General features: G+C 35.0%; 1 long non-coding RNA gene across 1 annotated transcript in view; it reads right to left on the bottom strand.

Annotated features, from left to right (window-relative positions):
• Positions 1–3,019: 3,019 nt before the first annotated feature.
• LINC01049 (long intergenic non-protein coding RNA 1049) overlaps positions 3,020–25,506 on the bottom strand; it is a 42,055-nt gene continuing 19,568 nt past the window's right edge. Inside the window, exons 3-6 of the long non-coding RNA NR_120414.1 lie at positions 24,790–24,874; positions 10,864–10,962; positions 5,542–5,586; positions 3,020–3,607 (exon numbers count right to left, since the gene is read on the bottom strand). This is a non-coding gene — a long non-coding RNA (long intergenic non-protein coding RNA 1049). The remainder of the gene's footprint in view (positions 3,608–5,541; positions 5,587–10,863; positions 10,963–24,789; positions 24,875–25,506) is intronic.

Below are 25,506 nucleotides of genomic sequence, written 5' to 3'. Positions count from 1 at the left end.
TCATAGGGAAACCAGCTCTGTGCCTGCCTGCACAGTTCAGGTTGAAGCAGGACTACTGACGTAGAAGCCATGGCAGGTATGGCCCATTTGGGTACAAGAGGTGGGATGGCTGGAGTTGCCCCCACACCATCTGGGTATTTTTAGGGAAACAGGAGGTTTCACCCCTTGGCAAATGTAGGCAGAAGTAGTACCACTGGGTTAGAAACTCCAGCAGGTGTGGCTTGCCTGGCTACCAGTGGTGGGATGGGTGGGGAGACCCACGCTGCCATCTGGGTGCTTCCTGGGAAAACAGGAAGCTCTAAGTCTTGTTTTAAATAACTACACATACTAAAAGCTACTAAGGATTAAATTTTAGCTTCCTATTCAGTGAATATTTTGAATAAAATTTTCAACTTTGAATAAATTTCAACTGAAATATAGGTGTTGCCTTACGTAATGTTAAATACCACACATGGTTCTTTAGGTTGATTTATAAAATAGTTTTTCCAAGGGCAGACATTTCTAAAATATAACTGATAAGAGGCATCAGAGTGCAAAAGAACATAATATGCAGAATTTTGTTTTGTTTTGTACAAGAGCTACATAACTAAAATTTTGTATTTTAATTACATTCTGTCTGTATGTATATGTATGAGTAAACTCAGATAACTACAAGTTCTATTTCAATTGGTAAAATATGTCAGCTAATAATAACCTTACAGTAGCATTCAGAGTAATGTCTGATGTTTAACCTTTGACAGAATGAATTTTTAATGACTTCACTTTGATTTCACAAATTGGATTTTAAAAATTAACCTGTATCAGGAATCAACAGACTTTGTATTTGAAGTTATCTGATGGCATTGATATATACTGGGATCACTTTATTATCTATGAAGTTCCATTAGCATAGCCACATATTGATGGTTATTTCATTTTTCATAGTGCATAAGAAAACTTGCAGATGAATATAGTGAAAAAATTTTTGGAAAGAAATCTTTGAATGCAAATTTGGTTTTCATAGGGAGGTGTGTAAACACACTTTCAGCAGTTACTCTTGCTAAATTATTATATTTGGGTGCACATTTTTTCACATGTCAACTAGCTTTATACTGATTGTTCAACAAATTCAAGTCGCAGAGTTCCCTTGTGCTTCATTGTGTCACCAATGTGGGTGGTAAATGTGCATGAACATTTTGTGAGATTACATTTTCGATATCAACTATCCTAAATAATAGAAACTCAGAACTTATTTTTCCATTGCACATGTACTTGTTTGGGCTTATTGCTGCTTTTTTTTTAAATAATACAGAACAACAAAGACAAAAGCATGACCATATAACAAATATAGAATTGTAGTTTTGAACCACAAATGACAAAAAAAATCATTATAACAAAACATCTGGACTACTAAGTGTTCTACTGCAGGATTACTCTGTCTTTGTATAATACATATATTTAAAATATAGCCAATAAAAATTGACAGAATTTCTCATTAACCCTGGTAGCTTTTGGTATCTTCTAAGCTTCAGCAAGGGTCATGGCACACTAGTTATTTTCAAGTGGTCAGCACGGATAGCCACATAGAAGAGTGCACCTCATTTTATTAGTTAGCATGCTGTCCTTAAATATGTTGGGTCTTTTGCTTCTGGAAAAGGTCCAGAAATTAGAACTGGGTTTTTGGTTGTCTTTCAGACTGAAATGTATTAGAATTCAATTCTCTACCCATGAGTGTCTCACACAATACAATAGAGAGAATACCAGAAGATGAAAATAAAAATTAGAGATATGCCAAACCCATCCTAAATTAATGCAACTATTGATAATGATTTTAAACAACAAAAAATCAGGAACAACTGCTAAATGCACCATAAAGGTCTTGGGGACAATAAATATAACCTGGATATCTCCCAGGGAAACCAACATTTAGTCACACACAATATTGTGAAGTTCTTTACCATAGAACCACAACTAAAATGGTCACCTATTTAGAGTTCTGTTGATTATTCCCATTAGTTTGGGCAAGTTCCTTTATTTCTATAAACTCATAAAGTTGGTATGAAGATTGAGTTCTAGGAAAGAGAAAAGCTCCAAGTCTGATAGCTAGAAATATTAAGAGTAATTATCTAGATGGATTTTCAGTGACCATAATAGTTAAATAATCTCATTTTTAGCCCAGTTACACTTAGGTACTTTGAGTCTATTTAGTAAACTTAATCTGAAATCAAAACTAAAATTCTTATATCACAATGAATATGCTTAAAAATGCTGAATGTATTTTAAAATAGAAAACACATTGGATTAAAGATTACTTGGATATTCAGTTGCTTGCTTAGTGATGGAGGTGTGAAAATGGAAAACTATGAGCAGTAACAGAGAGGTCCTTTTGCCATTAACATCTGTTACAGCCACAATTATTAATATTGTTACCATTTTTCACAGCAGGAATGATTTCCATCTCCATTTTATATTACAACAAATAATTTGGGAAATGATTAATGAGATTTTTAATTATAGATTGAATTTATCTTAAAACAATCTGTGCCACTACAGCTGGAAAGGATCAGGCTTTAATTACAACCAGGAAAAACTCCACAGTGAAACCAATCATGTCCATTTTAGGGTGCACAGACCTTCTCCATGCCTGCTTCACCTTCACACTTGACTGCTTAGCTCCATTTTTTAACACATGGTGCTAATGAGGCCATGGCCATGTTTTCACTGCCCATATGTGCCAGTTAGCTTCACTGTTCCAGTGCTACAGATTGTTTTCGTAAACTTGGGCTGCCAACTCAACAATTTCTCCACTCATTCACCAGGGGGATCTGGCAAAAAAAAAAAAAAAAAAAAACCATGGACTATCTGTTGTAAAGTTAAAACAAGGGCTGATTGCTTGGGGATAAGAGTAAGAAGGCTTATCTTGAAAATCATAGTCTTCAAAACGGCATGTTAATTCAGAGGTTTCTTCTGACTTGATTATTTTTAGTTTAAGAAATAACTATTTAAGGGAGGCAGCATAAAAAGAACACTAGACCAGGAATTTGAAATCTGGATTTTATTCTGATCTCTTTTTCAAATAGATGCATGACCTTGAAATACCATCAAATTAGCCTACGCTCATTATCCTCTGGAAAGTTTGAGGGTTGCCTCACATAATTGCCAAGGAAGCAAGCTCTAATAGTTTATAATTCTATAATTAAACATGCCAAGCATTGGAAGCATTGTTTGATGATGAGGCTTCAGGCTGGAAAGGGGAACTGATGCATCTTAAAAACTCGAACTGTGTCTCAGGCAGATGGTTGTTAGTTGTTAGTTGTCAGGATCTCTTGTTGAGCAAAGATGTGCTCCCACGGACTTACAGGTGCTTCTGTTTTGTAGCACTGGTTTTGCAGTTTTGTTGCTTACAGGAGGAGTGCAAATCAGCCATCAGGCCAGGGGGAGAAATACATGATATTGGTCTTGATGAATTTGCTCACTAACTATCTTTCTTCTGTTTGTCTCAGCAGACTTCTGCCCGGGGCGTGGAATGAGTACATTCTTCCCTGTCAAGTCCTGGGAATTATTTTCCACCATGAGCACAGTGCTCTTTTTAGCTTTGCATCACTGAGTAACTGTCAGGAGACAAGCGCTATGACAAGAAAAATCCATCCTTAAAACCGTCTGTTTATTTGTACCCAAAGACATGTTGTTGAGGTTAGAGGTTGGTGTAAAATCTTCTGATATATAGGTGCATATACATACATACACACACAGACACATGCACAAGCTAGAAAAGTTCTTGCTTACTAATTTAAAGAAGACTATAACTATATTTACATTAGGGTCTAACATAGGGACTTATTTCTTTTAACAAATATAGGCTGGATAAGAATTATAACTAAGTTGGTAATGCAACTCTAATTGAGGGAATTAAATTATTATACCTAATAAAAATCACAGCACTCATTTTTACTTTATCCATAGTAACTACAATGGGAGGGATAGAGTGGGAATTTTTTTATTTATGAATGAATATATTTGCATGGATTACAAGTTGAGAAATAACTCCAATTTGATGTTAAATATCAATGAAAACAACCATAAAGGTTTCACAAAAGTGTGCTAGAATTAATGAACTTGAAAAATAATTCAACTAATCAGCAGTTTGATGGGTTTAGAGCAAAAATTAGAGAAATGGAAGAAAGGGTAAAACTATTGGAAAAACACAGTAGGGAATGTAAGTAGAGTGTGAAAACTGCTGCGGAACAGATTGCTGTTATAATTAGAGACAATATTTCACTCTCCTTTAAATACAAGTCCCTGGAAATTGCTCTGAGTGAAAGAGGGGGAGGCACAGCTGTTTGAGTGTACAGCTGGTGGGAATGACAAAGACTATAGTCAGACGTAAACCAGTTAAAAAAATAGACTAGCTAAGTAACAGTAACACCTGGCTTGAGCATAATGACAAATATGCATTATTCTTAAGGAAATAAAACATAGAGGGTTTTTATGGAGAATACAAAAATTTCTACCTGGTAATAAATATGTTTCATGCATATAAGAATCTCTACAACTAGTGGCTCACGCCTGTAATCCCAGCACTTTGGGAGGCCAAGGCGGGTGGATCACCTGAGGTCAGCAGTTCGAGACCAGCCTGGCCAACATGGCAAAACCCCATCTCTACTAAAAATACAAAAAATTAGCTGGGCATGGTGGCACGTACTTGTAATTCCAGCTACTCAGAAGGCTGAGGCAGGAGAATCACTTGAACCTGGGAAGTGGAGGTTGCAGTAAGCAGAGATTGCGCCACTGCACTCCAGCCTGGGCAACAAGAGTGAGACACCGTCTCCAAAAATATATATGTATAAAAAGAATCTCTCCAACTATTCATTGTACAAAGAGGTAAAAACCTAAATCTAAAAGAACAATATATATTGAAATATTATGAGACTAATAGCATTAATTGTAGCACTCATATTTAATTGTATCCTTTGTTATACATAAATCTTGAGAATAAGTGATCAAATACTTGGTGATTAATAAAAAATCTCCTCCCTGTAATAGTCAAAAGAATATTCAGTAAGTGTCCTGGAAGGATACTCCACACACCCAGTTACTGGTCTCACCCTTCCTCTGTGCATTCTTTGGAAACTTGCACAGACTCAACCTGCTCACTTATTTTGTCTTGCCATAAAAGTGCTAGACAAATAAGAAAAATGAGTATGTACGCTTTTGGCTTACAGCTGACCAAAATCTCAGAAATACCAGGATTGTACAGCTTGTTCTCTCATCTTTTAATGTTATCAAATATTAACATCTACATGAGATTTTTTTTCATAGCACACAGCAAACAATTCCTACCAGTGCCTTAGCTTTACAACTGTACAAGCAGATCCATCCTGTAGATATTCTTAAAGAGGCTGTTATGGTATTTGCCAAGAACAAATTATCCTGTGAGTGAGGGTGTTGTCTGAGATGAGATAGCGACTTTGTGAACTGACCCATAAGAATTCACAGACCATCTCTGTTTCACCTTCTCCCAATTATATTCACATGCAACCCAAGAAGTTTGATAATTCTTACCTCTTCAACAAAGACAATTTTCCCTTTTCTAGTCTTCACCTCATTCTGCCAGGAAAAAGAAAAGGATGTACAGAGGGGCAAGTTGTCTGATGAGAATCCAAATAGCCAATATATCTTTCTTGTGGACCCCTTCCTCTCTATTTATTGCTCCATGGAATATTTATACCTCATCACCATGAGGAAAGGGGCCAAACCTTTTCTGGTAAGTTAGACATATTTTTAGTCAGAGTTTACACTGTGTTTTACTAGCTCTGGTTTAATCAGTAGTTGTTGATAAATTTAGTGTATAAAAGTAAGAGATGTAACAATCCTCATTGCATCTCCCCTTTGCTTGTATATAAAACAAGTATTTGTCATATAAATATAAATATTTTAATAATCAGTCATTTGTAAGGGTGTCTTGGCTACCTATGCCAATCAATAAAGTGATTCCATTTTTATTTTGGAGGATATGGGTCACATGAGAAAGAATGAGGCCAAATTTCTGATAACAAAGATTAAGTGTAGTCTGAAAACTGTTATTAGGTCAACAAACAAGGTGATTCCAACAATGTTTGCAAACAAAAAGCTTTTTGCTCATACTTCTTAGAAAATTTTTTACTCATTTGTCAGAACAAAATTTTAGCTCAATTTCTTAGTGGAACTTCTCTGAAGCCCTGGATTTGATATCATTATCTTCTATAATTTCCCATAATATTTCATGTTTATTGATCACATTTTTAAGCATTTATTTAATAGCTATATTTCACATTAGAAGATTTCTGTATAAACACAGAGAAAATATCTATAGTGTCTGAAAGGACATGGCACATATTAAAAGCAAATAAATATTACAGATTATTAATTATTTATTTATCCACCCATCATCTCCACAGATATTGCCTGAGCACCTGCCCTTGCACAACTTTCATTCTACAAGAAGGGGTCTGGCAATAAAACGTTTAAGTAAAATGTCCAGTTTGTAGGAAGAAAATAAATGTTAAAGAAAAAAGAAAAAATAGAACAGGGTGAGAAGGATTAGGAGTGCCGGCATGGAGGGTGGCCTAAGACAGGCTTATTGAGAGCATGTGATTAGAGTAAGTCTGAAGGAGGTAAAGGAAATTTCCCTTGAATTTCTAACTGAAAACTGCTCCATGCAGAGAAGAGTCAGGAAAATGTCTAGTATGTTCAAGAGATAGAAATTACTTTTGTTGAAATAGTACCAAGAATCCAGGTGCATTCTTATTTTATTTTTCCTTCCTAAGGAGTCTTTGTATTTTTATTTTTAGTTTTCAGAATGGCTTTATTGATTACCCATGAATTATTTTCACTGTTATGAAGACAAGAATCCAAATACTGTCTTTTGACACCACAGATCTGTTTTCCAACAGAGACATCCCTTCCTTCCATCTGAAATAACCATGGAGAAAATAGAGTTGAGATGTAATAGAGCTTAAAATCAACTTTATTAAATTGAATTTCTCCAGAATTGAGAAGACATCTCACTTTTCCTATAGCCTTCAGGTAAACAATTACAAAGAGGTATTTTAATAACCACTTAGGCACACAAGGACAGCTCTTCAGGTGGTCTCAGAGAGGATAAAAAATTGCATATGTCATCTGCCAGAACAGATACTAAATTACTTTAGCCTACAGAAACTTTCTATTTGTCTAGAAGGCATTTATTTTCCCACTTGAGGTGTTGGGAAAACAATAGGCTAAACTTCCTATGACAGAAAATACATCAGTGAAAACTCAGTATCTCTTTAATCTTTTATTATATACTCTGTTACTAGTGGCCTAAACTTTCTGTGACAGAACATACATCAGTGAAAACTCAGCATCACTTTAATCTTTTACTGTGTCCTCTGCTACTATATCTCTGTGATTACTGTTAGCATATCATGATTATTTGTTCATTTTTCTTTGTATGCATGTTTTTTACATTTTACACAGTATATTCAATCAAAATAATACGTAGATCACGTAGGTTTAAATTGAATGCTTTCTGTAGTTTGTTTAATCTGTACATTGAATGCTACCTTTATAAGTGCCTTATTTTTGGAAACATGTCAATATAATCAATCCATCAACATTTGTTAATATACTAGCAACTATTTGATTAACTGTAAGTATTATTTCACTACTATATCTCCCTTTGACTGTGTTTTTACCTTAGAAAATTTGTGGTAATTTATGCTAAAATAGGAAAAAATGAGCACAACAGTATAAGCATTATCAAATTCCTTTTGAAATTTAATTCTTATGTACAATTTTGTGCAAATTTTTATTTTACATAAAAATGTTATCTCCTGTAGTGACTTCTTCAATTAAGACTGAATACAAAAGATTTAATATGCTTCTAAGATTTATATACATTTTTACTGAATTGTGAATGCATTGAGCAATATTTACCATATCAATGTTGGAAATATCTTAACATCATGTTGAGGAATTGATATTCATACATAAAAAGAAAAATGAGAATATGTATAAATACAGTGTGTATATGTGTTTGCATGTGTCTAAATTTGACCAAATATACTATTTAATAAATGGATCTGGGAAAACTGGCTAGCCATATGTAGAAAGCTGAAACTGGATCCCTTCCTTACACCTTATACAAAAATTAATTCAAGATGGATTAAAGACTTAAACGTTGGACCTAAAACCATAAAAACCCTAGAAGAAATCCTAGGCATTACCATTCAGGACATAGGCATGGGCAAGGACTTCATGTCTAAAACACCAAAAACAATGACAACAAAAGCCAAAATTGACAAATGGGATCTAATTAAACTAAAGAGCTTCTGCACAGCAAAAGAAACTACCATCAGAGTGAACAGGCAACCTACAAAATGGGAGAAAATTTTCGCAACCTACTCATCTGACAAAGGGCTAATATCCAGAATCTACAATGAACTCAAACAAATTTACAAGAAAAAAACAAACAACCCCATCAAAAAGTAGGTGAAGGACATGAACAGACACTTCTTAAAAGAAGACATTTATGCAGCCAAAAAACACATGAAAAAATGCTCACCATCACTGGCTATCAGAGAAATGCAAATCAAAACCACAATGAGATACCATCTCACAACAGTTAGAATGGCAATCATTAAAAAGTCAGGAAACAACAGGTGCTGGAGAGGATGTGGAGAAATAGGAACACTTACACTGTTGGTGGGACTGTAAACTAGTTCAACCATTGTGGAAGTCAGTGTGGTGATTCCTCACGGATCTAGAACTAGAAATACCATTTGACCCAGCCATCCCATTACTGGGTATATACCCAAAGGACTATAAATCATGCTGCTATAAAGACACATGCACATGTATGTTTATTGTGACACTATTCACAATAGCCAAGACTTGGAACCAACCCAAATGTCCAACAATGATAGACTGGATTAAGAAAATGTGGCACACATACACCATGGAATACTATGCAGCCATAAAAAATGATGAGTTCATGTCCTTTGTAGGGACATGGATGAAATTGGAAATCATCATTCTCAGTAAACTACTGCAAGAACAAAAACCAAACAGGGCATATTCTCACTCATAGGTGGGAATTGACCAATGAGAATACATGGACACAGAAAGGGGAACATCACACTCTGGGGACTGTTGTGGGGTAGGGGGAAGGGGGAGGGATAGCATTAGGAGATATACCTAATGTAAATGATGAGTTAATGGGTGCAGCACACCAGCATGGCACATGTGTACATATGTAACTAACCTGCACATTGTGCACATGTACCCTAAAACTTAAAGTATAATAATAATAAAATAAAATTTTAAAAAAATCCAAAAAAAATTATGAATACATTTGAGAAACAATCTGATAAAGAGAAAAAATACAGTCATAAGCCCCTGAAACAATCTGAAATATTATGTCAAAATTTTCCTTTTCAGTGGTTATAAAAGAGGCATTAAACAAAACATCTACTCCTAAATTGTGTCAAATCAAAGTTCACTTTGGGCGGAAAGACAAGTGTGGCCAACATCTTGTTTAGTATTTAAACTGTGCATTAAACTGTGGTTTATGAACTTGTTTCATATGATGACTTCTTTTTTTTCTTGAAACTAAGTCACACTCTGTCTCCCAAGATGGAGTGCAGCGGTGTGACCTTGGCTCACTGCAACCTCTGCCTCCCAGGTTCAAGCAATTCTCCTACCTCAGTCTCCTGAGTAGCTGGGACTACAGGCGCCCACCACCAGGCCTGGCTAATTTTTGTATTTCTAGTACAGATGGGGTTTCACCATGTTGGCCAGGCTGGTCTCAAACTCCTGACCCCAAATGATCCACTCACCTCAGCCTCCCAAAGTACTGGGATTACAGGCGTGAGCCATCGCACCCAGCCTCATATATGACTTCTAATTAATTAATATGAACAAAATCTTTGTCTACAATTCCTATATGAACATATAATTTATAAATGGAAAAACCTATAAGGGTGTAGCTATTTAAATGGTTTTTAAATGGGTTCTTTTTATTTGTCAATTTATGCTATAAAATCTAGGAACTGACAGACTGTATACTTTAGCCCTACAAATCCTGTTTGACTTCTGTCTTCAGCAAAAGTATGTGACTGCTTGGTGTTTCTGTCTTCCTACAGTGCCCATGTTATAATAATTTAGGAGTGTTTTGTGCAGATCTCATCTGAGCACCATGTATAGGTCCATTTCTTCTGTAACACTTGAATTTAAATTAGAAAATCTTCATAATTAATCAGGTAATATTTATATAAATATCAGTATAAAACCGCATGCAAACATTTGTTATATAAAATATTTTTTCTAAAAAGAATAAACAAACTGAATCATGACCAATAATCCAGGTGAGTTGCTTTAAGTTGAATATGAACTGAATAAACACATAAAAGTAATTTTTCATATTTTAGTTTCATTGAATTAATGATATTTCTTATTTGTTCTTGGAAAAATACATGTGTTTATAAAATTTATATAATTAAAACCCATCAATATTTGTTAATGTATAGATTATTTTATTAAATAAAAATATTATTTCATGAATACATCTAACATTGAATATCTACGTGTTTTTAATTTGGGACATTTATAGTCATGTGTGGCAACATAGGAAAAAGTAGAACATGTATAACTTATACCTCCTTTCACCTATGTGTTTTGTCATCTCAGTTACTAACTTCCATAATAAATCAATAAATATTTGCAGTTGTCATATCAATTAGAATTACTTTCAGTTGAATGAATCAGTAATTTGGTTACATCAGATAGGGATTTTTTTTCTGTTCCATACGTAGTATTGGAGAATATTCAGAGGAAGTATGACAGTTCCATTATGTCCTCAGTTACCTTAACTGTTCTTAACTTTCCATTCCACTTTCCTTAGCATGTAGCACTCATTCTCATTCTTGCAAAATGGCTTTTACATCTCTAAGCATTATACGTGTGCTCCAATGTGGAAGATGAAGGAAAGAAGAAAGGCAATAGTCAAAAGATACAAATTCATTTAATAGCTCTGTCAATTCTAACAAGCTAGAAGTAAGAGACAAAGCAAATTTTATTATATGAAAAGCACCTACAAATACATATTTTAAAGTTTTCTCTCTATATATAGGAAGATATTCCTTATACTATATATACCTTCTAGTTTCCTTTTGTGGTTAGAAACTGGAGATTAAATGTGGGTGATTAACAGCTGTTTAAGAGGAAGTTATAATTTTTGCCAATAAGAGGATTACTGTAAAAATTTATTTTCCTCTTGGCTGGAGCATTTTAGATTTACAATATTTTCAGATACTATGTGGCATTCAAGTATATTCAAGTGCACTTTTTAATTTTAGTACTGGATGTTTTTAGAGCAGTTTTAGATTCACAGCAAAAATAAGAGAGAGGCACAGAGATTTCTTATCTCTTCTCTGTTGTTACACATGTATACCCTCCCCCATTATCAACATTCTGCAACAGAGTGGTACACATGTTGCAACTGATAAAACTACATTGACATATGATAATCACCCAAAGTTCATCGTTTGCATTAGGGTTCACCTTAGGTATTGTACAGTCTATGCAAGTGCACATTTGAAGAAAGCATAGGCTTGCTACAGGATTCTATTAATATAATGAAGAGATTCCACTTGTGTAAATACAGTAGAGGGATATTACATTAGTCTCATTAACCCATTAAACCTCTTGTTGTTTCAACCCAACTGTAACAAGGCTTATATGGAGTAGGGTAGACCAGAATGTTTGACTGAGTGAAAATTAATTGGCAACACCAAAACATGCCAAGAGATTCTAAGTACATAAAACTAAATGTGTTTTGAAATGATTGTACATATGTTTAACTTTTTCTTGTTTACATCCAATGGCAAACCTGTGAAGATATTTAACTTTTAATTTTATTGTTAATTTTTAGGAACACATAGTAGTTGTAAATATTTATAAGGTACATATGATATTTTGATACAAGCCTCTAAAGTATAATGATCAAATCTGGGTATTTGGAAGATTCATTATCTCAAACGTTGATCATTTATTTATGATGGGGTATTTAAAATCTTTTCTAGCTATTTTGAAATATAAAATACATTACTGTTAACTATATTTCCCCAATTGTGCTACCAAACACTACATCCCTATCCTTCTATAAAACTTATTTAAATTCAATAGCTTATTGAAAATTCTAGAAAAGTATCTGCTTTGTAGTAAACACTTGATAAAACGTAGTTCACTTGTGAAACAAATAAATCATTTTCTTTAAACAATCAAATTCATTTATATACAGAATTGTTCCTTTATAGTGTGGGTAGAAGTTGCCATTTCATAATTCACTGGTTTTCAAATTTTGGGAGCTCAAAACCCTTTCAAAATAATACTTTTATGCAGACCTCCAATGTAGCAAATGTTTGTAAAACTGCTGTAATTAAAACAGAATTCTCCAGAGCTCTGCTCCCTCTGTCTCCCAAACCATCCCTTGAGGCTTCTGAGGCAACTCCAAATTGCCCGAGAATTTTTAAAAATGTATTGAATCTAGTAAAACAGGCCATGCAGATAATTATACTTCTAGCTTAATATAATCTTTTCAGTTTGGAATAAACTCATTTATCTATATTGTTGATTGTCAAATGATAATGAATTTAGTATTTAATACTAAATGTTCTTTTTAAACTTTTTAAAAAGAATACTAATGTTCTTTTTAAAAAGTAATTTTATTAAAGTTGCTCATTGTGATATGTTAAAACTTAAGAAAACTTTAACCTTGTGAGAAATAAGCTATTGAATGAGGCTGTTGGTTTGCACCCCTCTGTCTTCTAATTTGTTAGGATGTGCCACTCCCTCCATTCTTTCTTTTGTAGAGTTACCTCTGTTTTCCTCATATACTAATCTGGGAATCAAAATGTCTGTATTTAATTATTTTAATTTGGATTTTTGTCCAACATTTTAAATCTAGGTTAAGTGATAGAAGCACATAAAGTTGGATAACTTGCAATTTATGTCTGTGACAATTTCAGCTGCCAGAGTGCCAAGATAGCAGTAGTGACATCATTTGATCATAGCTCCTCTGGTATGACCTTAGTTCTTATACACTATCCAAGCGTGGCTTAATATTCCTCCCATTCTATAGGATCCCATTCTATTTTATCCCATTCTATAGGTTGTCTGCTGACTCTGTTGATAGTTTCTTTTGTTATGCAGAAGCTCTTTAGTTTAATTAGGCCCTATTTGTCAATTTTGTTTTTGTTGCAATTACTTTGGGCATCTTTGTCATGAAATCTTTGTTAGGTCCTATGTCCAGGATTATATTTCTTAGGTTATTTTTCAGGGTTTTACACTTAATGTTAGCCAAAAGGCCAAGAAGAAATCTCCAGGGTTTTTGTAGTTTTAGGTTTTACATTAGTCTTTAATCCATCTTGAGTTGACTTTTTAAATATGGTATAAGGAGGTATATAGTCCAGTTGCAGTCTTCTGCATATGGTTGGTCAGTTATCCCAGCACCATTTATTAAATAGAGAATCCTTTCCTCATGGCTTGTTTTTCTTGACTTCATTGAATATTAGATGACTGTAAGTGTACAGAAATATTTTTGGGCTCTGTATTCTATTCCAGTGGTCTATGTGTCTTTTTTTTTTTTTTTTTAACCACTACCATGCTGTTTTGGTTACTATAACCTTGTAACATAGCTTTGTTGGTTTTGCTTAGAATTCTCTTGGCTATTTATGCTCTTTTTTGGTTCCAAGTGAAGTTTAAAATAGTTTGTTTTCTAATTCTGTGAAGAATGTCATTGGTAGTTTGATAAGAGTAGCACCGAATTTGTACGTTGCTTTGGGCATCATGGCCATTTTAACAATATTGATTCTTCCTATTATTGATCATGAAATGGTTTACCATTTGTTTGTGTCATCTCTGATTTCTTTGAATAGTGTTTCATAATTCTCAATGTAAAGGACTTTCACCTCGTTGGGTTAGTTGTATTCCTAGTATTTTATTCTTATTACGGCTATTGTGAATGGCATTGAATTCTTGATTTGGCTGTCAGCTTGTATGTTGTTGGTGTATAAAGGTGTTACTAATTTTTGTACATTGATTTTGTGTCCTGAAACTTTGCTGAAGTTGTTTATCTGCTTAAGGAACTTTTGGGCAGACTATGGGTTTTTCTAGGTATAGAATCATATTGTCTGAAAACAGAGATACTTTGATTTCCTCTCTTCCTATTTGGATGCCTTTCATTTCTTTCCCTTGCCAGATAGATCTATCAATAACTTCCAGTCCTATGGTGAATAGGAATGGTGAGAGGTGGCATCCTTGTCTTGATCTGGTTTTTAAAGAGAATACTTCTTGCTTTTGCCTATTAAGCATGATGGCTATGGGCTTGTCATAGATGGTTCCTATTATTTTGAAATATGTTTCTTCCATGCCTATTTTGTTGAGGGTTTTTAACATGAAGTGATGTTGAATTTTATCAAAAGCCTTTTCTTCATCTATTGAAATAATTATATGGCTCTTGTTTTTAGTTCTGTTTGTGTGATGAATCACATTTATCGATTTTTTTTTACATTTACTGATTTGTATATGTTGAATCAACTTTGCATCCCAGGGATAAAGCATACTTGATCATGAGGGATTATATTTTTGATGTGCAGGTAGATTCAGCTTACTAGTATTCTATTGAGGATTTTGCATCTATGTTCATCAAGGATATTGGTCTGACATTTTCTTTTTCTGCCAAGTCTTTCCCAGGTTTTGGCATCAGTACGATGGTGATCTCATAGAATGAGCTAAGGAGGAATTCATATTCTTTAGTTTTTTCAAGATACTTTCAGAATGGTACCAGCTCTTCTTTATACATCTGGTAGAATTCAGCTATCTGGTCCTGGGCTTTTTCTGGTCGGCAGGCTTGTTATTACTGATTCAATTTCAGGACTCATTATTAATTTGTTCAGGGATTTAATTTCTTCCAGTTTAATCTTGGTGGTCGTATGTTTCCAGGAATTTACCCATTTCTTCTAGGTTTTCTAACTTATATACACTGAAGTGTTCCTAGTAATCTCTGAGGGCTTTTTGTATTTCTGTATGGTCAGTGTTAATATCCCCTTTGTCATTTTTGATTGTGGTTATTTGAATATTCTCTCTTTTTTTCTTTATTAACCTATCTAGTTGTCTATTTCTCTTATTGATTCTTTCAAAGAACCAGCTCCTGGATTTGATAATCTTTTGTGTGGTTTTTCACGTCTCAATTTCCTCCAATTCAGCTCTGATTTTGTTTTTTGTTTTTGTTTTTGTTTTTTTTTCCTTGTCTTCTCCTAGCTTTGGGGTTGATTTGCTCTTGTATCTCCAGTTCCTCTCAGTATGATGTTAGATTGCTGATTTGAGATCTATCTTACTTTTCAACGTGGTTGTTTAGCACTATAAATTTTCCTCTTAACACTGTTTGTTTTTGCTGTGTCCCAGAGATTCTAGCATGCTGTGTCTTTGTTCTCATTAATTTCAATACATTTCTTGATTTATGCCTTAATTTTTTGCTTACCCAAAGGTCATTCAGGAGCAGGTTGGTTAATTTCTATGTAATGGTATGGTTTTGTGTGGTTTTCTTAGCATTGATTAGTATTTTTATTATGCTGTGCTCTGAGAGTGTGTTTGGTAAACAAAACTCTGACAGTTATTTTGCTTTTGCTGCGGATTGTTTTATGTATGATTATGTGATCAATTTTAGAGTATTTGTCATGTGCAGATGGGAAGAATGTATGTTTTGTTGTTTTGGGGTGGAGAGTTGTGTAGATGTCTACTAGGTCCATTGGGTCAAATGTCAAGTTCGGATTCTGAATGTCTTTTTCAGTTTTCTGCCTCAGTGGTCTGTCTAATACTGTCAGTGGAGTGTCGAAGTTTCCTACTATTATTGTGAGGCAATCTAAGCCTCTTCATAGGTCTCTAAGAGCTTGTTTTATGAATTGAGTGCTCTTGTGTTGTGTGTATATATATATTTCGGTTTGTTGTCTTGTTGAGTCAAACTCTACCATTATGTAATGCTCAACTTTTTTTTTAATCTTTGTTCATTTAAAGTTTGTTGTGTCTGAAATTAGAATAGTAACCACTGCTTTTTTATATTTCCCATTTGGTTGGTAGATTTTTCTCCATTCCTTTACTTTGAGTCTATGGGTATCATTGCATGTGAGATGGGTCTCCTGAAGACAGCATACCATCAGGTCTTGCTTCTTTATCCAGCCGGCCACTGTTTGCCTTTTAATTGGGGCATTAATTTTGTTTACAGTCAAGGCTAATGTTGATACGTGCAGATTTGATCCTGTCATTATATTATCAGCTGGCTATTATGCAGACATGTTTGTGTGGTTGTTTTACAGTATCAATGATCTATGTACTTAAGTTTGTTTTTGTAGTGGCTGGTTATAGTCTTTCCATATTTAGCACTTCTTTCAGGGCCTCTCTTATGACAGGTCTGGTAGGAACAAATTCCTTTAACATTTGCTTGTCTAAAATAATCTTATTTCTCCTTTGCTTATGAAGCTTAGTTTAGCTGGATATGAAATTCTTGCTTAGAGGTTCTTTTCTTTAGGAATGCTAAATATAAGCCTTCAATCTCTTCTGGCTTGTAGGGTTTCTGGTGAAATATTTCTTAAATGCCCTTTCTCTTTAGCTGTCTCTAACATTTTTTCTTTCACTTCAAGCTTGGAGAATCTGATGAGTATGTATCTTGGGGATGGGCTTCTTGTGTAGTATCTCATAGGGATTCTCTGCTTTTCCTGAACTTGAATGTTGGCCTCTCTAGTGAGGTTAGGGAAACTTTCATGAACCATATTCTAAAGTGTGTTTTCCAAATTGCTTTCTTTCTCCCCCATCTTTCAGGGATGCCAATGAGTTGTAGACATAGTCTCTGTACATAATTCCATGTTTCTTGGAGGTTTTGTTCTATTCTTTTTTAAAAAATTTTTGCCTGACTGAGTTAGTTTAGATAGCCAGTCTTCAAATTCTGAGATTCTTTCCTACCTTGGTCTATTCTGCTGTTAATATTTGTGATTGCATTATGAAATTCGTGTAGTGGGGTTTTCAGCTGTATCAGATCAGTTTGTTTCTTTTTATAATGGTCATCTTGTTTACCAGCTCCCATATTGTTTTGTTGTAAACCTTAATTTCCTTGAATTGGGTTTCAATTTACTCCTGAATCTAGATGATCTTCATTCCTATCCATATTCTAAATTCGATTTCTGTCATTTTAGCTACTTCATTCTGGTTAAGAACTCTTGCTGGTGAAGTAGTGTGGTCATTTGGAGGTAAGAAGAAACTCTGGCTTTTTGAGTTACCAGAGTTCTTGTGCTGGTTCTTTCTCATCTGTGTGGGTTGGTGCTCCTTTAACTGTGGTGCAATTTGAGTACCATCAGTTGACTTCTTTTCTATATGTTTCCAGAAGGCCAAGGCTTTGTGCAAGTCTTTATCTGTAGCTGAATTCTCATCCATGGTTTCACAGGAGTGTATGTTAGTATTTTTGGTATTGAAGTTTGGGCTTTGATCCAACAGATGGCATATAACCAAAGAATGTGTAGACAGGCTTTTGCTCAGCCATGTGACTCCTCTGTATTTCCTCATGATTGCTGCCATGCTACCTCTCAATGCTCTGAAAGTGTGTGCTCCTCTCCCACTGGAGTGCTGGCTGCAGTTCTCAGCTTGGCACTCCTGGGTTTCACACTGCAGCACTGGGGCAAGCTCAGGCTTTATGTTCCCTTCCCAGCTAGGAGGCAGTAGGAGGAGGGACCATGACAGTGCCTGAGGCAGAGGACCTTTTACTTGTCTCCTGGGGCTCCACCCCAGAGAGAGATGCAAAGTGGCTTTCCATTAGTGTGACTGGCCTGTGGTGGGGCAGCTGTGTTCTGGACCAAAACCAGGGCACCTTACCTGGAGATGAACAGTGGCAGTAGTAGACAGACTTTCAGTTGCCTCTGGGATCTCCACCTCAGAAAAACACAGAGCCACTGCTACTAGAACTGGTCAGCAAGGGTCTGGGGCTGCTACACTGCTGGCCCAACTGTTGGCCCCACTTGATGAAAAGCTGGTGGTTGAGGGCTCACAGTTGGGAGAGAGTGGGCAACTTTCCAGATGGTGACTGTGTTGTGTTGGAAATGAGTAAAGCCCACAGGCTCTTTGTTTCTTCTTCAGTCTGAGGGCAGCAGGGACAGAACTGCTGCAGGGACAGAGAGCCTTTTTTTTGCTTCTGGGAGCCACTCTCAGGGAAACACAGAGCCACTGGCAGTGGAAATGCTTGGCTGTGGGTAGAAGACAGCTGCTGTGTGTTCCCAAGCTGGGGGCCCTGACTGGTGAAGAGTGAGGGGTGGGGGCTCACAGGGAAGAGCAACTGGACTCCTTTCTATATAGTGGCTGTGGTGTCCTGGTGGTCCAGTGTAGTGATCAGGCCCTTTGTTTCTTTCCCAGACTGAGGGCAATAAGGTCATTACCACTGCAGTTGCAATGGGAGAGGGCCTGTAGGCTGTTTCTAGGATTCCCTCCTCAGAAAAATGCAGAGTTGCCACTGATTGAAGTGTCCAGATGGGGGAAATGTGGTTGTACTGGGGTTCAAGGTGGAGAAACACTGCCCAGTGAAGAGTAGTGGAGGTGGGGACCTGTGTGGAAAATAGTCTGGCCACTTTTCCATAAGGCTGTTGCACTGTGCCCAGGATCTTCATCAGTAGCTAATCACTGTGCTCCCTCCCATATCTCAGGGCAACAGGAGCAAGGGCTGCAAAGCAACAAAAATAGTGGCCTGCCTACTTCCTTTGGGAGCTCCATCCTAGGGAAATGCAGGGCTGCTGCTGGCCCGAGAGCCAAGGCAGGAAGTGGCTGGAGTCCTGGGTCTGGAGGCCGTGCCTAGAGTGGAGTAGCAGTGGTGTGGGCCCACATGGCAAACAGCTGCACTGTGCTCGGGGTCTGGATTAGTCCCTGATCACTGTACACCCTCTTATCCTGATGGCAACAGTAGTGAGAGCTGTGGAGCAGCAAAAATGGCCACCTGCCTCTCCTTCTGGGAGCCTCATCCCAGGGAAGTGCAGAGTTGCTTCTGGCCTGAGAACTTAGGCAGGTGTTAGTGGTTCACTTTTTACAAATAATGAACTAGCATTGAGACATCATTATCACTAAAAGTCCATCATTTGCATTAGAGTCACTCTTGGTGTTGCATGTTTTATGGCTTTTGAGAAATGTATAAGGATATGTATCTACTATTGTAATACCATACAGAATACCTTCACTGCCCTAAAACTCATCTGTTCCCCACCAATTTATTCTTCCCTCCTCCCTTACCCCCTGTTAACCACTGATATTTTTACTGTTTCCATAGTTATGCCTTTTCCAGAATGCCAGAGTTGGAATCATACAGTGATTCTATTCAGATTTGCTTTGTTCATTTAGTAACATTCATTTAAGGTTTTCCCATATCTTTTCTTGGCATGAGAGCTCATTTTTCTTTGCAGTGAATAATAATTAAATCATTGTATGGCTGGACCATTGTTTACTTATTCATTAACCTATTGAAAGACATCTTGGTTGCTTCCAGGTTTGGCAATTTTGAATAAAACTGTAAACATCAATGTGCAGGTATTTGTGTGGACATACATTTTTAGCAGATTTGGGTAGATATCAATAAGATCAAGATAAGATTGCTGATTCATATGGTAAGAGTATATTTGGTTTTGTAAGAAACTGAAAATATCTTCCAAATTAGCTGTTCTGTTTTGCATTCTCAGCAGTAATGAATGAGAGATGCTGATGCAGCATTTGGTATTATTAGTGCTTTGGATTTTAGCCATTCTACTCTTGTCATCTATATTTAATTATGTTGTTTTTCAGATGTCTTGCTGTTATTTTTCTTGAGATTTTCATTTGTCCTTCATAAATGTGTGTCCATAGATAATATCTAATCATAAAATAGGTGATATTTTATGAACACATCAAATATTACAGTGATTTGCCCAAAGAATTCCACAGCGATTTATTTTCTTTGGATGTTCTTAATCTCCTTATTGCTCCTTCCCCTGAGCAGAGCAATAATTGTGCTTTTCCTCACATTGTGTTCAATTAAATTATCCTCTTTATTGAAAATACACTCCCATTCCCTCTTTGGGTAATTAGATTTTATCTTTTTCTAACACTTTAACAATTCCCTTCTTAGCATATATATTTTCCTTATTGTGGCAGACACTGTTTGTCGCTTGCCTGTCATTCTCATTTCTTCACCAACGGATTCCTGATTTTTCTTAGATGTAAAAGTGGTCCCAGAGTAAGAATTTATGTAGTTGCAACAATCTGTTTCCATTTTTTCCTCTGACAGGCATAGTAGAACTTGGGCTACTCCATTCTACTCAACTAGAGAGAAAAGATGTCATCTGCAATGTCATGGAACAATATTTAGTTTCTTGACAATAACAGAGAGAAGTGAGAGGAAATCTCCTTGGCTTTCTTCTTCCCTTCTTAATAAATGTGGGAAGATATAATCACTGCAGTTATGGCAGCTATCTTGTGATTATAAAGGAAGAAGTACCATGATGAGAATGCAGATGGAAAAATGAAAAGAGCCAAGGATTGGGTCTGTGTGATAATTTTGACTCATAAAACCACCTACAGTACCACCTCCCTCAATAAGACACTCAGTTGATATTTCCTTACTTGAGCCAAACGTATCCTGATACCCTCCTAGAAATAGACTTAGTGTCAATGGCCATGCCCACATCTTTGAAACATTATCAATAGTATTTATATCAGAAAAAGGTGTCAGCTCTTTGTATTTCAGCCCAATTTAGGCCTAAAGATCTCAGGTGCAGGGTATTAGTTAATTAGACATTGTGCCTCTTCTTAAAATTCATATTTGAAATATAAGAAATTTAAGGCAATGTTTTAATTGCCTATGTGTATCTTCACCATATTTCATGACACTTTGGAAAGAAAATCAATATATGCGTTGTATTACATATGCCATCTGTCAATATGTAGAAAATATGATCACAAACCTTTGTAACAGTTCTGGGTAAAATTTTTAGTATCTATTGTTTTTTTCCTTTTTCTTTGCCTTACAATTTTTTTTTCTTTTGAGATTGGAGTGGAGCTAAATGGGCTGCACAACCCCTTCTTGATGACAAGCAATTTTCTTCCCACTCTACCAAATAACTCCCACACTAAACTTACATTTTGTATAATAAAGTTTTTCTGTATTTTGTGTTTGTTTTTTATTTGTTTTTTGGAGATTTGAGAGCATTAACTAACAGTTACGGCACTCTTTTGATTAAAATTATCATTTTCTTCCATTAGTACTTGAAATAAAATCCAAACTTATCACTGGAAATGCTGTTAACTCTCTCTCTAGCTATATCTTTATAAATCTCCCCACAAACAGTGACACAGTTGCTAAAGTTTGCCAAAATTTTTCCAAACACATACCTTAGACCTTTCCAAACAAGGGCCTGAGGTCCTCTTCTCCTAGAAAGCTTTGCTTCCCATCATTTAGCCTTCACTGCAAATATTACCAACTCAGACAGGCTAGCTCTGTTCACCCCTCTGAAAGTTCTGTATTTCAGCTGCTCAACTCATGGTTACCTTTATTGATTATTTTATATTGCCTTTCTCATCCTGAGTAGATATTTTAATCTATTTTTCTACTTCTTAATTACTGTCAAGCCTTCTCCCCTACCACCATCACAAGCTACAATCATGACAGTGATTTAGAACATAATCACTTTAAAATCTTTAAAATTTCACCTTTAAAATTTCACCTTTATGCATCATCATGTTTGGCAAACAATTACTTTGAAACATAATTTGAAATAAATAGGTAGATAAATAAATGAATAATTATCTGTAATAATGATAAATAAAAAATGTTTTTAAGACTCATTTTCCTTCCTTCACTCCCTTCCAATAACTTGAGCTTTAGTCCACTCAACAAGTGGGTTCACCTTTTCTCTTCTCTCTCTACTGCCCCTTCTCTAATTTCCTTTGCATTTCTTATTATTCTGCTGAGAAATTAACTTAGGACATGAGTATCTTCTTCCATCCATGGCGTTGACATGAAAACTTCTATCCTCTGAAAAGCCTATTTGGTTATTTTTCTAAACAAATACAAACTTTCTTGAAAGCCTACTGGTTAAAATAATATTTTTATGCCACACCAAATCAGGTAACCAGTGTCTTTACTTCATTTAAACAGATACAAAAGCATTTTATGCCATTCATCCCATTGAGTTATTATTGAATTATTTTTGTGACATTTTAAAAGTTAAAAGTCTAGACATTTTATACTTTTGCATCAAATATTATATTTTTCATATTCTTAATAAATTACCTATAACACTGATTGTACTTTTTCTGAAAAAATCTATTCATTCTTCTTTCATGACCATTAAATTAACAAATAAAATTTGGTTACTAGATTCCATTTTTCAGAAAGTTTGTAAGTATCATTGAGCACAATTGATTTTAAGAAATATGACAAATACAGAAGCAATATTGTAATAACGTAGAGTCACCCTTTACTCTTAGAAAAATGTAGAGTGAACATTTTTTCATATTATTCTACATACTTTTTAATATTATGTTCTAAATATTTAAACTATTTTGGATACTTAACTAAAATAACTGATTAATTTTATTGATTGAACTGATCTACATGGCTAATTAAAATAATTAATTTTCCAGTATTGGAATTAGACCTATATATAAAAACATCATTTCTGCAGAATACTAATGTGATTTTGGAAAAGCTATTTGTTTCTTAGGGCTTCAAATTTCTCATTTGTAAACAGAGAAAATGTCTAAATTTAGGGAAGTCACAGAGATGAAATTAGATAAGCAATATATTATATATACTATATATCTTATATATGTAATTATTTTTGATGATATGTATTATATATTAGCACAATGTAGTTGTCATTTTCAGCAGTTTTTCACATTCCCTATTACAAAGTAACTACCCAATTTATATTCCTGACTGAATTTTATTTAATCATTTTAATGTATTTTATTAAACTATTTTCATATTTTAGGCTACTTACCTTTTTCTGATTACAAATGATAAGTGATTTAGAACCTACTTCTATTAATACATAGTTGTAATATTAAAATCGATTTATAAATGAATGGAGATTAGGACAGAAACTTTCTTCTTAGTTCTCTAATATTAGCCCTGCTTATATTGAGGCACTTTTACATAATGGCTCCCCTTTCTAAGACAGAAAATAGCTTTAGAATGCATGTACTTTAAACTCCTGACCTCGTGATCCACTTGCCACGGCCTCCCAAAGTGCTGGTATTACAGGCGTGAGCCCGGCCCAAGACCAGCCTGGCCAAGATGGTGAAACCCCGTCTCTACTAAAAACAAAAAATTAGCCGGGCGTGGTGGTGGGCGCCTGCAATCCCAGCTACTCAGGAGGCTGAGGCTGAGAGTTGCTTGAACCCGGGAGGCGGAGGTTGCAGCGAGCCAAGATGGCACCACTGCACTCCACTCCAGCCTGGGCGACAGAGCAAGACTCCTTCTCAAAAAAAAAAAAGAGTGCATGTACTTTAGAAAGCATTTATTGGAGCCACTTAAAACTTTTTGTGGATACAAGATGCATATTATATATTTAAAAAATTGTATCATAAAGACGTATGCTCCTTCTGGATCACTGTTTATCAACAGAGCATGGTAGATCTCTTTTCCTGCCCTCCCGCTCTCCACTCTGCACAGAAAGTTTGGCAATAGGCAGCAGCTTTCTTGAAAGTCTCAGTGATTGAGGTTGGCACGTGCACTTAATTTTGAGCACAGCAGAACTGGTAAACAACCTGAAGTGTTCATGATGTTCTACACAAAAAGAGTTATCCTTTTAAAAATATCAAAAACAACCTTATTTTAAATACTGGAAGACAAATTCATGATATCTACATGGTATTAAAATTTATGAATTTGGAGTGGTAAATGCTACCAGATGCCTTAAAAACAATAGTATCATCATCCTCTACTTTTAATTAAAAGAAAATTTATCTAACAGGTATATTTAATTTGTTTTCTTAGATTTTCTTGTTATGTCATTGTCTTATGTAACCATATATAAGTCACAAGATATGATAAATTTATCTAAACCTTTCCAATAATTCTTTTTACCTCTTTCTAATTTTCACATGGTTTGGCTTTAGCCAGAAATTTCAAAACAAAATGACAAACAGAAAATTTTATAGTGATCATTCTCATTTGTCACTTCTAGTAATACTTGTAAAAATGAGAAGTTCTTTGTAATAATTTCTGGCATTTTTGTAAGATTTTAAATTTGTCATGATTTTATTATTTAAGACTTTACCTTAAGGTCTTTTCAAATTGTTATCTATAATCTGATTATTTTTTCATAGTTTTAAATAATTTTTATGGTAATTAAAGTAGAATACCTCCAGTTTTATATTCCTCAGTTTTGTAAAAATTCAAATAATACATATGACTATATAGATACTCTTTTTCAGGTGTTTAAAAGGGAATTATGCTTCTCTTAAAAATTTAGCTGGGAATACAAACCCATTTCTTTAAATTATGGCAAACTATCATGAGATATATATATATATATACACACACACACTTATGTTTTATCATTTTTATACATCTTTAATTCAATTAAATTGTAGCTGACAGATTCTTTAATTATCTAATCCTCCAATAATCACTGCTGTTCTTATAGATCTTTTCCCTCTTTTGTTTAGTTATAGCTGCCTTGGTGATCTCTGGTAACTTGTTGGTCTATGTCCTCAAATCTATATTACCTTTTTTCTCAAACTATTTCGAGTTTGTTATCCAATTCCGTTTGGTCAATGTAATCAAGTTGAACATTCACCATCTGCTTATGCTCTGTTTAATACAATTGAAGGAAGACAAGGACCCTCATTAGACAACCCAAACCTCTGACTTCAACCACCACTATACTAGACAAGTCAAACTCCATATACTAGAAACACTCACTGGCCTCAAGTTTACTTTCCTTTTCAAGGTAGTAATCTTTCTCCATAAACATCAATTCTTCATCTTTGTATTTCTTCTTTTTAATATCTAAACTTGGTTGACTGCATTTCCAGCCTTGGTGCTGTATTACCTAATTCTCTCAACCTCTGGTCAAATGAGGAAAACTACTTACCCGATGTGATTTAGGAGGATATTAAATAAAGCCATTTAAATAAAACCCATAGCACTGTGCCTGGTAAACAAAGCGTGATGAGTAAATGTTAGCAATTCTTATTGTTTAATTATTATAATTACCAAACTTTCTCAAAATGATTTTTCTGTTTTATTAATGACCACTAGCTGTATTGGAAAATCATTTTTATCAAAATATTATTGATACATGAATATTAGAAATTACAAAGTTTTTTTCAGGAAATATATTCTAATCCCTTAAAACTAAGCTCATAAATCAAATATTTATTACATGTTAAAATCAAAATCATAGCAGTCAAGATTTGGAAAAGACTTAAGATTTTCTTCAT

The sequence above is a fragment of the Homo sapiens genome, chromosome 13, assembly GCF_000001405.40.
Source record: "Homo sapiens chromosome 13, GRCh38.p14 Primary Assembly".
NCBI classification, from domain to species: domain Eukaryota; kingdom Metazoa; phylum Chordata; class Mammalia; order Primates; family Hominidae; genus Homo; species Homo sapiens.
Note: the sequence above shows the minus strand (reverse complement) of the source record. Positions and strands in the feature narration are given on the sequence as shown.